General features: G+C 49.5%; 1 protein-coding gene, 1 non-coding gene and 1 pseudogene across 4 annotated transcripts; 2 read left to right on the top strand and 1 right to left on the bottom strand.

Moving 5' to 3' along the window:
• Positions 1 to 1,261: 1,261 nt before the first annotated feature.
• Positions 1,262 to 12,746, bottom strand: PSMB3 (proteasome 20S subunit beta 3). 3 transcript variants are annotated; one of them, NR_104195.2, is made up of 6 exons: positions 12,658 to 12,746; positions 12,153 to 12,337; positions 9,497 to 9,604; positions 4,879 to 4,979; positions 2,982 to 3,076; positions 1,262 to 1,368 (listed from the first exon to the last, which is right to left on the bottom strand). NR_104195.2 is itself a non-coding variant. In NM_002795.4 (6 exons), the coding sequence occupies exons 1-6, from the start codon at positions 12,658 to 12,660 to the stop codon at positions 1,320 to 1,322; spliced, it is 618 nt and encodes a 205-aa protein (NP_002786.2). In that variant the 5' UTR covers positions 12,661 to 12,746; the 3' UTR covers positions 1,262 to 1,319. The 3 variants fall into 3 exon arrangements, 1 of the variants encoding a protein (NP_002786.2); NM_002795.4 differs by having other exon boundaries at positions 4,879 to 5,056; NR_104194.2 differs by lacking the exon at positions 4,879 to 4,979.
• On the top strand, positions 10,087 to 10,208 carry RNU6-866P (RNA, U6 small nuclear 866, pseudogene; annotated as a pseudogene).
• Positions 12,747 to 13,632: 886 nt separating the features above from the next.
• TRN-GTT2-5 (tRNA-Asn (anticodon GTT) 2-5) lies at positions 13,633 to 13,706 on the top strand. The gene has a single exon. It is a non-coding gene; the product is annotated as a tRNA-Asn (tRNA).
• The last annotated feature ends 8 nt before the right edge of the window (positions 13,707 to 13,714 follow it).

Raw genomic sequence — 13,714 nt, 5'->3', positions numbered from 1 at the left:
TGGCTCACGCCCAGTACTTGGGGAGGCCAAGGCAGGAGGATCACTTGAGCCCAGAAGTTCAGTACCGGTCTGGGTAACATAGTGAGACCCCGTCTCTACAAAACAAGAATTAGCTGGATGTGATGGCACATGTCTGTAGTCCCAGCTACTCAGGAGGCTGAGGCAGGAGGATCACTTGAGCTTGGGAGGTTGAGGCTGCAGTTAGCCATGATTGCACCACAGCACTCCAGCCCTAGCAACAATGAGACTCTTAAGGAAAAAACAAACAAAACACCACAGCACCAGAGCCAATCTGCCTGTTAGCTGTTACTACCATGCACATGGAAGAATGGACAACCCCCCCCCCGCCCCCCCGCCTCCAGCTGTGTAGAACGAACTCTGGCTAGGAGCCACTCACCTGACATAACTTTGAACATGTCACCTCTGTGCACCTCATCTACTGCATCTGGGCATTTAGCTTAAAACCCAGTAGTTCTCAAAGTGTGGTCTTGGACCAGCAGTGTCATTAGCACCTGGGAGTCAGAAATGTAAATTCTCAGGTTCCAACCCAGATCTACTGAATCAAACTTTTAATGAGCCCTCCAGGTGATTGTGATGGGGGCTAACGTTTGGGAACCACTCTGCTATGCAAACTTTCTACTTGCTTATTAGGCCATCTATGTACTGCAGATTGCAAGCTGGAATCACTTGGGGAATTCTGGAAAAGACAGGTACCCAGGCCCCTAAAAGGCCAATTGGAATCTCAAGGGGTGGGATCAAGGTATGTGTTTTAGGAATTCCACAGGTGACTAATGAGCTGGCCAGGTTAAGAAACACTAATCTAGACTACTTATGGGTACTTGACCAAATTTCTACCTGAAGCAATAAAAGATGTAAGGGTTTTCCCGTAGAGTTTGAGTGAAAAGGATTCTAAGCTCTGGCATCAATGGAACATGAGTTTATGTCCTGGCTTTATCACTTATTAAAGTAGACTTGGGTAAGTTATTTAACTGTCCTTCTTCTCCAAACAAGGATAATCTCAACTACCTTGAGTCATTATGATGAATAAATTCTAGATCGTGTAAAGCACTTGTGTGGGGCCTAGCACACAGGGAGCATGCAGCAAGTGACATGTGGATTGTCCCCACTGGCACGCACTGATGGAGTAGAGCACGAGCCAGAAAGCAAGCCGAGGGCCAGGCCACACACACTTGAGTGGCTGGCTGTAGCTGCCCAGCTAGGGCAGAGATCTGCAGGAAAGCATCAAAGACAAAAGCAGGAGTGAAAGACAGGCTATTTTATTTCAAAAAAAGAAAAAAAAGTGGGCTCTGGGAACAGGGTTAGTCCATTCGGGCCTTCAGTGTCCTGGTGGTGATTTTGTCCTTCTCGCTGCAGAGGGAGAAAATCACAAGAAAACATCTCTACCCATCTGGACCGTGACTGTGACTAGCTCTCCTGGCCCTCAGCACCAAGCCCTCAAGCCCTGCGGCAAGGGAGCAGAACAAATAGCTGCCCGCTGCCTCTAGGTGTAACTATCCTGCTCTAGTTCATTCCTGCTAGCTCATCTCCTCCGCCTGTGGTGAGGAAGGAGGGATAGGAACAGAGACCTGGGCCGACTTTCCACAGGTGGAACCACCTCAGGGAGGCTTTCCCAGAAAATGATTCAGGGCCAGACTTCACAGCTCTCAAAAGAAGGGAAGGAGCTTGGCCGGGCGCGGTGGCTCATGCTTGCAATCCCAGCACTTTGGGAGGCCTGAGGCAGGCGGATCACGAGGTCAGGAGTTCAAGACCAGCCTGACCAACATGGTGAAACCCCGTCTCTACTAAAAATACAAAAATTAGCTGGGCATGGTGGCACGTGCCTGTAATCCCAGCTACTCAGGAGGCTGAGGCAGGAGAATCACTTGAACCCAGGAGGCAGAGGTTTGCAGTGAGCTGAGATAGTGCCATTGCACTCCAGCCTGGGCGACAGAATGAGACTCCATCTCAAAAAAAAAAAAAAAAAAAAAAGGGGGAAGAAGCTCCTCCAAGCCTAGAGAACAAGCCACTTAGGAAGGAGAAGGTGTGGTGTGTTTCACCCCAAAGAACATAAAAAAAAACCGTCGGTGGTAAATTCTGTTTTTTGGGTTTTTTGTTTTTGTTTTTGTTTTTTTTGAGACAGAGTCTCACTGTGTTGCCCAGGCTGGAGTGCAATGGCGTGATCTTGACTAACTGCAACCTCTGCCTCCCAGGTTCAAGCAATTCTCCTTCCTCAGCCTCCCTAGTAGCTGGGATTACAGGCACGTGACACCACGTCTGGCTAATTTTATGTATCTTTAGTAGAAACGGGGTTTCGCCATGTTAGGCTGGTCTCAGACTCCTGACCTCAAGTGATCTGCCCACCTCAGCCTCCCAAAGTGCTGGGATTACAGGCGTGAGCCAACGCGCCTGGCCAAATACTATTTCACGGTAATTAAGCAGGCTATCCCCCAAAAGGGTCCAAATGCTTATCCTGCAATGTAGGAAAGTGGTTGGAAGGATACCTCCTACTCTATCCAATCAGGTTCCTGGTGATGGCCCCAAACAAGTAAAAGGACAAGGAGGATGGCACTTAGGGAGTTGGCTGAGGCTTGGAAATTGGTCTCTAGAGCTCAGAACATCACACAGATCTGGGCTGGAGAGAGGATGCGAGCCACCTAGAATTTCAATCCATCTGCAGTAGCTTTGTTGTGGCTCACCCCAACACGGATCCCTGAGACTTCGGAGACATTGTTAAGGAAGAAATGTCTCTTGTGAGCACGGGGTCACAGAACCTCACCTGACAAGAGGCCAGAGGAAGCTGGGTAGGCTGCCAGTTACCAGCCATAGGGAGGCATGGACTTTTGCTCACCCAGGACTGCCAAAAGCACCTTTCTTATCTCACACCTGACCAGGGGGCTGGGAAAATGGGGTGTATGCTCGTGGAGAAGGGAGAGAGGCAGGGTGTCTGCAGAGCTTCTAGACTTCTCCCAGCCCATACTCACATGATGTGGACAATGACTCCCATGCCTGACACTGCATCCCGGTCCACAGCATTCAGCATGGCTTGGGAGATGGTTTCAAACAGGTGATCCGGATCCTGCCAACAGAGTGGAACCCCTTCAAACCACAGCCTCTGGCTCTGATTTGGTCTGGTCCCTTAACTCTCTTTTTTCTAGGCTCAAGATTCCCAGCTCTGGCCCCAAGACATGCCTGAAGTAAGGGATGATTCCCAGGATGTGGGAAGCCCCTCTCAGCTCCTTCCTTGGAAGGAAGCAGAATTATGTAAAGGAAAGTGAAAGAGACTTCAAGCCCTGAATTTCTTTTACTAATCAGCAGTGTGACATTGGGCAAATAGTATGTCTCTCTTCACTGAGCCTCAGTTTCTCTGTAAAATAGGGAGAAGAATCCCTATTTAGCTCCAGTGTGCTTTAGCAGCTGTCTGATGGGCTCTGATCCTGGATATCTTAACAGGTACCTCAAAACCCAACCTGTCCAACCACAAACCCACTTCCCCCAAACCTGTTCCTTCTACATTCTGTCTTGGCTAGCCTAGCTGGAGAACCCAGCCATCCTCTGTCTCTACATCCTTCGCTTCTGTTTTAAGTGACTAAGTCCCCTTGACAGCTGCCTTCCTGCCTCCCCACTGCCACTGTCTTTGCTCAGGACCTCAGCGCCTCCTGCAGGCGGTAACAGCCTGTCACGTCCACCTAAAGGCACCTGATTCCCTAGGTTCCTATGGCAGAGGACAGAGTTCAAACTCCTTGGCATGGCATTCAAGGCCCTTTGAGGTCTCATCTCAGTCTCCAGCATCATTTCTCCCCATGTTTAACCCACACTCCAGCCAGGCTCAGCTCTCCAGTCACTGAGCATACCTGCCCCTTCCTGTACCTTTGCCCCCAGACCCTTTCTTTCCTCCTCTTCCCAACAAACTGCAGTTCAACAGGTATTTGGATGTGTCTTGCTTCACTGGACTGCAGTGGGCCCTTGAAAGCAGACTGTACCTGCTTTCCCCAGTGGCCGGAAGAGCTGGCACTTAATAACGACAGCCGACCCTCGCCGTCAAGCACTATCTCATCTCTTCTCACTTGTTTTTGTGCTCGCTTCGGCAGCACATATACTCATTTGTTTTCCTCAGCACCACTTTTTTTTTTTTTTTTTTGAGACGGAGTTTAGCTCTTGTTGCCCAGGCTGGAGTGCAATGGCACGATCTTTGTTCACCGCAACCTCCGCCTCCCAGGCTCAAGCGATTCTCCTCAGCCTCCCGAGTAGCTGGGATTACAGGCATGCACCACCATGCCCGGCTAATTTAACTTTTTTTTTAGTAGAGACGGGGTTTCTCCATGTTGGTCAGGCTGGTCCTGAGCTCCAAACCTCAGGTGATCTGCTTGCCTCAGCCTCCCAAAGTGCTGGGATTACAGGCGTGAGCCACCGCGCCCGGCTTCCTCAGCACCACTTCTAAGGCAGACTTTTTTATCCTCATTTTACAGTCAAGGTAGTGGAGGCAGAGAGGGAAACTGGCTTCTCCAAGAACAATAACTAAGGTGGTGGGTGGATCCAGGTTGCCAACCCAGACAACCTGTTGAGCTGCCTCTAACCCTACACTGAGTTAAATGTTTGCTCAGTGAATGGATGCGAGAACCCTGTAAACCCAATGTAAGGAATTCTTACTGCTGTGGCAAATATCTAACTGTGGTCTCCTAACAGAAGATGCTCTCCTCTGGAGCCAGCCAGCCAGCCTGGCAGATGGAATTTCTGGATACCCTTCCAAGGAGCAGCAGCTGTGGCTTTCTCTCCCACCTGCACCATTCTCCCCATTACCTGCCACATAAACACACTTTTTTCCTAATGACCAAGGGTGGGTAACTCAGAGCCCAGCCCCTCTCCATGCCACCAACGTACCATGTTGGGCTCCCAGAGGGACTCACACATTCCGTACATTTGTTCGGCGCAGGTGCCACTGACCACAAAGTCATCAGTCACCATGGGGCAGCCGATGAGGTCTAGAGAGCAAATGAAGGGCTTAAAGGTCTTCGGGTCCAACCCGGCAATGACTGGCTCAGTGTAGTAAGGGCCAAACCTGTGGGGGCCAGCATCAGAGAGAGAAACCAGAACTCAAGAACGCTCGCTTTCATGTTTAAGCCTATTCAGACAAGGCCCCGGCCTAGACCCAGACCCAAAGGGAAATGGAGGACCTGTTTAGGAAGATCACCTTTCCCTGAGGCCAGCTCCCTCTCCCTTCTCCTGCCAGCTAGAAATATTCTAAGACTTTTCCACTTTCTTTTCTTCAACACTTACCTTTCTATCCTTCTCACCTCTGACCCTCTTGTGCTCCTTCTTTCTTTCAGAATTGTTTTCTTCTAATCCTCCCTCTCCTCACCCAAGGTCCTACCATCACTCAGTCCTCTATGTGTATGTTTATACCTCTACTCCTTTAGAGAAAAGATTGGAGGCAGTTTATATGAAAAACACTGAAAAATAAAACTAAACCATTAAAACATAATACAAGATAACTCAGACTGAACACAAAGTTTTGTTTTGAGCCCCCTAGCAGGCAAGGCAAAGAGGGATACTCAGTGGCTGGGTTACTCTCATTGTCAAAAGGAAATGGCAGCTCATCAGAAACTTGTTCTAGACACTGATCTTTAAGAAAAATCAGTCTTGGGCCAGGCGCGGTGGCTCACACCTGTAATCTCAGCACTTTGGGAGGCCGAGGTGGGTGGATCACCAGGTCAGGAGATCGAGACCTTCCTGGCTAACACGGTGAAACCCCCTCTCTACTAAATATACAAAAAAAAATTAGCTGGGCATGGTGGCGGGTGACTATAGTCCCAGCTACTCAGGAGGCTGAGGCAGGAGAATGGCATGAACCCGGGAGGCGGAGCTTGCAGTGAGCCGAGATCGCGCCACTGCACTCCAGCCTGAGCGACAGAGCGAGACTCCATCTCAGAAAAAAAGAAAAGAAAAGAAAAAAAAAAAAGAAAAATCAGTCTTAGGGATCTTTATGTACAGATGATGGTCCCTGACTTATGATGGTTCAACTTAAAATTTTTCAACTTTATGATGGTGCAAAAGCAACAGGCATTCAGTGGAAACTATGCTTTGAAATTTGATCTTTTCCCAGGCTAGCAATTTGTGGTACCAAACCCACTCCTGATGCTGGGCAGTGACAATGAGCCGCAGCTCCCAGTCAGCCACACAATCACCAGAGGAAACAACAGATACTTTACACTGTTCTGCTGTGAGCAATTTTTGGATATAGTGTTTTGTGTATTTGCATCCTATGTCTACAAAATACCCATTTCAACTTACAATATTTTAAACTTATAACAGTTTATAAGGTAAGGAATATCTATAAAATACCAAATAACAAATGGCCAATATCCTCAGTAGAAAGAGTCAGTAAAAGAGACGTTATCCATATGTCTTATTGGATCACAGTCATTTCTTTCTTTCTTTCTTTTTTTGAGACAGTCTTGCTCTGTCGCCCAGGCTGGAGTGCAGTGGTGCGATCTTGGCTCACTGCAAGCTCTGCCTCCTGGGTTCGAGCCATTCTCCTGCCTCAGCCTCCTGAGTAGCTGGGACTACAGGTGCCCGCCACCATGCCCAGCTAATGTTTTGTATTTTTAGTACAGACGGGGTTTCACCGTGTTAGCCAGGATGGTCTCAATCTCCTGACCTTGTGATCCACCCACCTCGGCCTCCCAAAGTGCTGGGATTACAGGCGTGAGCCAATGCTCCAGGCCTGGATCACAGTCATTTCTAAGGGCATGATCTTCAGTTATAGCTCTAAATAGAAACACACACACATACACACGCACAGTTCAAGATTACAGGCATGAGCCACCATGAAAATAACTTTTTTAGGCCAGGCATGATGGCTGACGTTTGTAATCTCAGCACTTAGGGAGGAGGCCAAGGCTGGAGGACTGCTTGAGCCTAGGCATTCAAGACCAACCTGGGCAACAAAGTGAGACCCCTGTCTCTACAAAAAAATTTAAAAATTAGCCAGGCATGGTGGCATGCACCTATGGTCCCAGCTACTTGGGAGGCTGAGGCAGGAGGATTGCTTGCACCCAGGAGGCAAAGGTTGCAGTGAGCCATGATCGCACCACTGCACTCCAGCCTGGGCGAAAGAGTGAAACTCTCAAAAAAATAATAATAATAAAATAAAAAATAAAAATAATAAAATAAATGTCTTACTCTTATTGAAAAGAAAAAAAATACATTAGGTGACCTGAAAAATTCTGGATTCTTAGCTACTATTGACGGGAGCTTCCTCTATGAGCCCATCTGAAATCAGTGATTTTTCTGGCAGGACAGGCTGAGGCATTGAACTGCAAACCTGAGCAATGTCCAGACCCTTTTTAAAATCTGGACCCCAGAGATACCATCTACGCACCTCTGTCTGAAACACTGCAGTAAAAGTTACTTCAGATGGTAACTCGGCATCAGCATAATAGGAAGTTCAAACACAGGCCCTGAGCTGTGTTATAGTATTTGGTTTTAAGGTTCTTATCCAGATAATCCCAGATATTATTAACTTTTTTTTTCGTTGGCTGGGCGCAGTGGTTCATGCTTGTAATCCCAGCACTTTGGGAGGCTGAGGTGGGCGGATCATGAGGTCATGAGTTTGAGACCAGCCTGGCCAACATGATGAAACCTTGTCTCTACTAAAAATTAAAAAATTAGCCAGGTGCAGTGGCAGGCGCCTATAATCCCAGCTACTCAGGAGGCTGAGGCAAGTTGCTCACAGCAACCTCCACCACCCAGGTTCAAGCGATTCTCCTGCCTCAGCTTCCCAAGTAGCTGGGATTACCGGTGTGTGCCACCACGCCCAGCTAATTTTTGCATTTTTATTAGAGATGGGGTTTCACCATGTTGACCAGGATGGTCTTGATCTCCTGACCTCGTGATCCGCCCACCTTGGCCTCCCAAAGTGCTGGGATTACAGGCATGAGCCACCACGCCCGACCTATTTTTTATTTCTTTTGAGACTAAGTCTCACTCTGTCACCAAGGCTGGAGTACAGTGGCATGATCTTGGCTCACTACAACCTCTGCCTCCCAAGTTCAACAATTCTCATGCTTCAGCTTCCCGAGTGGCTGGGATTACAGGCGTGCACCACCACACCCAGCTAATTTTTGTATTTTTAGTAGAGATGAGGTTTCACCATGTTGACCAGGCTGGTCTCGAACTCCTGACCTCAAGTGATCCACCTTCCTTGGCCTCCCAAAGTACTGGGATTACAGGCATGAGCCACCACGCCCAGCAAGCCATTTAATATACATCCAAATATGAGTTAATTGTTACAACTTTATAAGACTTTTTGCAGGGCGCAGTGGCTCATGCCTGTAATCCCAGCACTTTGAGAAGCGGAGGCAGTAGATCAGTTGAGGTCAGGAGTTCAAGACCAGCCCGACCAGCGTGGTGAAACCTTGTCTCTACTAAAAAAAAAAAAAAAAAAAAAAAAAAATTAGCCAGGTGTGATGGCACACACCTGTAATCCCAGCTACTCAGGAGGCTGAGGCAGGAAAATCACTTGGACCCGGGAGGTGGAGATTGCAGTGAGCCGTGATTGCACACCAGGGCGACAGAGCAAGACACCATCTCAAAAAAAAAAAAAGAAAAAGTTTTTGAAAGCTAAAGGGTATTTTTACAAATTACAAAAATTACTTCAAAATAAAAAGTTAAAAGAAAAGAAAAAAAAAGAGATCAGGCCAGGCATGGTGGCTCATGCCTATAATAGGACTTTGGGAGGCCAAGGTAGGTGGATCACCTGAGGTCAGGAGTTCGAGACCAGCCTGACCCACATGTTGAAACTCTGTCTCTACTGAAAATACAAAAATTAGCCGGGTGTGGTGATATGGACCTGTGGTCCCAGCTACATGGCAGGCTGAGGCAGAAGAATCGATTGAACCTGGGAGGTGGAGGTTGCAGTGAGCCGAGATCACGCCACTGCACTCCAGCCTGGGTGACAGAGCAAGACTCCGTCTCAAAAAAAAAAGAAAAAGAGAGCTCAACTTATATTCTGGCCACCCAGGTTTGCCCAGAGGTAGAAAGCACCCACAGGGTTTCCTTTCAATTCCATCCTAGATTTCTGCACTAAATTCTACAGTTAGGCCCCTTGTTTCTCACCATAAAGCCCTCAAGGAGAACTGACGAAAATGAACACCCCATTCCTAGGCTCCCTGCTATTCCCAAGAAGCCAGTGCTGACAGAATAGCTCTAGGGCAAGAGTGGCTCCTGCTGGGAGACCCCAGAACACTCTGGTGGGACTAACTCTTTTGCCTAGATGCAAATTTATCTGCTATGTGCATTCCTTGCCTTCTTCCAACATAAGTATTTTCTTTCCTATCTGGTTGCCAGACAGGCCCAAAGAAAACACACCCATAAAATAAGGATATTATCCTGCAAATAAGAGATGGAAAAACAAGGAGAGTCCTCTTCCTCAGTACCTACTCCATACTACATTCAAAGATGTCTGCATTCCCTCAGTGCTAGCTACACTTGCACTCACCGTTTCTCATACAAGAGGTTGGCCACCATGCTCATGAGGGTATAAGGTTTGATCTGCCGACCTTCCTTCAACTCATACAGGTTCAGCCGGAACTTGAGGCGCTGGGCACTGAGGTAGGAGAAAAGTGAGTTAGTAAGTCATTATTGAATATTCCTGAGTGTCTACCCTGTTGAGGTCAGGGAAACATAAGGAGACATCTCATCTCAGTCCCTGCCCAGGGAAAACTGTAGTCTTACATGTGTTAGGAAGTAGCAACTGGTGCTTGCTTTGGCAGCACACACACACACACACACACACACACACACACATATATATATATATATATATATATTTTTTTTTTTTTTAGACGGAGTCTCACTCGTCGCCCAGGCTGGAGTGCAGTGGCGCAGTCAGTCTCGGCTCACTGCAAGCTCCGCCACCCGGGTTCACGCTATTCTCCTGCCTCAGCCTCTCAAGTAGCTGGGACTACAGGCGCCCGCCACCACTCCCGGCTAACTTTTTGTATTTTTAGTAGAGATGGGGTTTCACGGTGTTAGCCAGGATGGTCTCGATCTCCTGACTTCGTGATCTGCCCACCTTGGCCTCCCAAAGTGCTGGGATTACAGGCGTGAGCCACTACGCCTGGCCAGCAGCACATATATTAAAACTGGAATAATACAGGGAAGATTAGCAGAAGGATGACATGCAAATTTGTGAAGCGTTCCATATTAAAAATGTTTAGGCTGGGCGCAGTGGGTCACACCTGTAATCCCAGCACTTTGGGAGACTGAGGCGGAAGGATTGCTTGAGCTCAGGAGTTCAGCTGTGGGCAACATAGCGAAACCTTGCCTCTTACAATAACTACAAAAATTAGCTGGGCATGGTGGCACACACCTGTAGTCCCAGCTACTTGGGAGGGTGAGGTGGGAGGATCACTTGAGCCTTGGAGGCGGAGGTTGCAGTGAGTTAAGTTTATGTCACCAGCCTGGGTGACAAAAAAAAAAAAAAGGGGGCAGCACCAACTGCTGTGCTATGTGCTAACAGACTTGAAAGATGCCTTAGAAAAAGGCCATTTGGCAGCTCTGGTGAAAAAAGGAAAAAAGGTCACAGCTTGCCAGTTCCATCTCAGAGCCCCAGGATAGGCCCCTGCATAGAGCAGACCAATGCCACACCTGCTGGAGGAAAAGCAATGAGTCTCAGGACACCAGAGCAAAGAGACTTAGAAATGACTTGAGCTTCATCTTCCAGGTAAGGAAACTGAGGCCTAGTGAAATGAGCAGTCATTGCCCAGAAGGAAGCAAACGCAGTGAGAAAAGCCCTCTGAAGAAAAGGAAATGGTGTGAGAACAGCAGTGACTGCAGAAGGGAAGGCTCACGGGAGACTTCACTGACAGGAACCCCAGGATGTCATTCTCTGACTCTACCAGACAGGAAAAAAGGGCAGGCTGGGTGAGATCTCAGTAAGTGTTATGTTCTTGAGACTCAGGGAGTTTTAAGAGAAATGAGAACATTTTCTTTTATTCTTTCTTTTTTTATTTTGTTTGAGACAGAGTCTCGCTCTGTTGCCCAGGCTAGAGTGCAGTGGCACAATTTCAGCTCACTGCAACGTCCGTCTGTCAGGTTCAAGCAATTCTCCAGCCTCAGCCTCCCGAGTAGCTGGGATTACAGGTGCCCACCACCCAGCCTGGCTAATTTTTGTATTTTTAGTAGAGACAGCGTTTCACCATGTTGGCCAGGCTGGTCTGGAACTCCTGATCTCAAGATATCCGCCCACCTCAGCCTCCCAAAGTGTTGGGATTACAGGTGTGAGCCACCGCGCCCAGCCGAAATGAGAACATTTTCTGACAGGCATCCACCCACGCTTGTGAGCTAGTCTCTCCACCTTCTAGGAAACAAATCCAGGACCTGCTGCTCCTCAGGCACCAGTACCCTGCAGGACCTGCCCCCTGTGACCACGTATTCCCTCCTGAAAACCTATCACCGTTCTTTTCCTCTCTTATTCTTCTCTGGCTTCTCTTCGCCCCTCACTGCTAAATGTAACGTTCAGCTCTCAAACTGCCGCTCATTATTTCCCTCCCTACAGACTTTGTCTCTCCAGAATCTGCTCCCATAGATTTGGCACATTGCCAATGCTTCCCCAACCCTGAGATGTAATAACAAAACCCCAACTGCTTGCAAGATGTTTCTATTGGGCTTGTCTTGTCTGCTCAAAATTGTTGTCAAAATCAAAGTCAGGCCAGGTGTGGTGGCTCATGCCTGTAATCCCAGCACTTTGGGAGGCTGAGGCAGGTGGATCACTTGAGGTCAGGAGTTCGAAACTAGCCTGGCCAACATGGTGAAACCCTGTCTCTACTAAAAATACAAAAATTAGCCAGGCATGGTGGTGCGCGCCTGTAGTCCCAGCTACTTAGGAGGCTGAGGCACGAGAATCGCTTGAGCCTGGGAGGTGGAGGTTGCAGTGAGCTGAGATCATGCCACTGAGCTCCAGCCTGGGTGACAGAGCAAGTCCCTGTCTAAAAAAAAAAAAAAGAAAGGGAAGGACATGTTTTTTGGAGGCGGCAAAGTCTCAAACTCACTGGTGGTGTGTGGTAGATGACTGACACCTTGGCCGGTCAAGACGCCGGGGTTGGATGGTCCAAGAAGAGGCCTGGGTGTGGGCGGGGACCCTTGAAACTTACACTGTCTGGACGTCAGTGGCGAGCCCGGCCAGACCGATGTACAGCCGGTCACCCATGGGAAAGATCTTCTGGAAGTCCGTGGTCACCATCTGGGCCTGGATCCCGAAGCGCCTGTCTGCAGCGATGGCCACACAGTTCTTCCCCTTCATGGCCATGACGGCCCCTCCGTTATAGGACATAATAGACTAGGACAGACAGAGCGGAGGGGTCAGCGCGGGGGGTCAAACGCTGCCACAGCCCCCGGCCCAGCTCCTGATGCGGAGGCTCCTGTACGCCCGTTCTCCATTCCGGAGGCGTCTGAACCCCTGGTTCTCCAGCTGGGATGAGCACTGTGTGGCGGCAATGAGCCGCACTCACCCTCTTGGTCCTCACCGGGGCCCGCTCCCCTCGAACTGAAACCGCTTCCTTCCATCGACCCTAGGCCCTTTTCGTCCCCAAGCCTCTCCTGACCCCCTCCGCTTCTCAATCCTTCCCCATGCCCCTTTGCTTTAACTCCCCATCTCACCATGATTGCGGTGTACTAGGATCCCTCGATCGCCAGAGCAATTCCAGTAAACCGGGTCTAGCCTTCACTGCGCAACCGCTCTCACTGCTGTCTCTTCATTGGCTGATAGGCGGACTCTTCCTGGACATCTGGGCTTTCTATTGGTCACACGTCCCTGTCGGTCACCAGTACAGGTAGTTTGGTTGCAAAGTCAAAACGGAGGCGGGAAAAGCGGAAGTGAAAAGTCACTGTGGCTGCGGAAGAGACTTGCGACACGGTGCATAGTGGGATCTCGGCGGACCTGGACTCGGGACCTCAGGGACTGGGGGCGGAGCCTGCGCGCACGTGGGCTGGTGAAACTGGGTTTAGGAAGCTGCGGCCCCAGCTGAAGGGGCACCGTGACGCTTATCAACGTGATGTATGAGTTCGTCGTATTAGTCGTGCTAGCTTATTTATTCACTCCAGAAATCCTGCGTTTACTGTGTACCAGGCACTTGCCTAGGCTCGGAATATTCACTGGCCCACAACAGTGCCTAGTATATAGGAGGCGCCCATTAAATGGAAATTTAATGATGCAGGTGGGAAGGGGAAGGCGTCGCGTGTAGGCGTCGCGGGTATTTTGCGGCTGCAGGGGTTCAGCTGTGAAAGGGAGTTTGGAAGCCGAAGCTTGTTCTGATTTGGGGGACTTCCTGCGGCCCGACTTCACGTATCCTCAATCTCAGGTCACCCTAAAAAGGGACGTTCCGCGCCTCTCCACGTTTGAGGTAGAACCTGAGGATAGCCAGAGTCGACCTCTCGCCGTTCCAATGGAGGAAGGGCGTGCACGTCCCGCGTCCTCTCCTCCCAAGCTCTTTCGCCTCCCTCCCCCATCAGGATCCTTCCCTTTCTCCCCCGGGTTCCACTTATTTCGCCCGATGGCGGCATCTCTTACGGCGTCTGCGCCGTCCAGGCTCGCTCCCATTGACTCGGCTCACTACTACGCCGGTAGTCGACTCGGTCTCTGTGGCGCAATCGGTTAGCGCGTTCGGCTGTTAACCGAAAGGTTGGTGGTTCGAGCCCACCCAGGGACGCTATGACC

This window comes from Homo sapiens, chromosome 17 (genome assembly GCF_000001405.40).
Source record: "Homo sapiens chromosome 17, GRCh38.p14 Primary Assembly".
Classification (NCBI taxonomy): Eukaryota; Metazoa; Chordata; class Mammalia; order Primates; family Hominidae; genus Homo; species Homo sapiens.
This window is presented reverse-complemented; position numbering and strand designations above follow the sequence as displayed.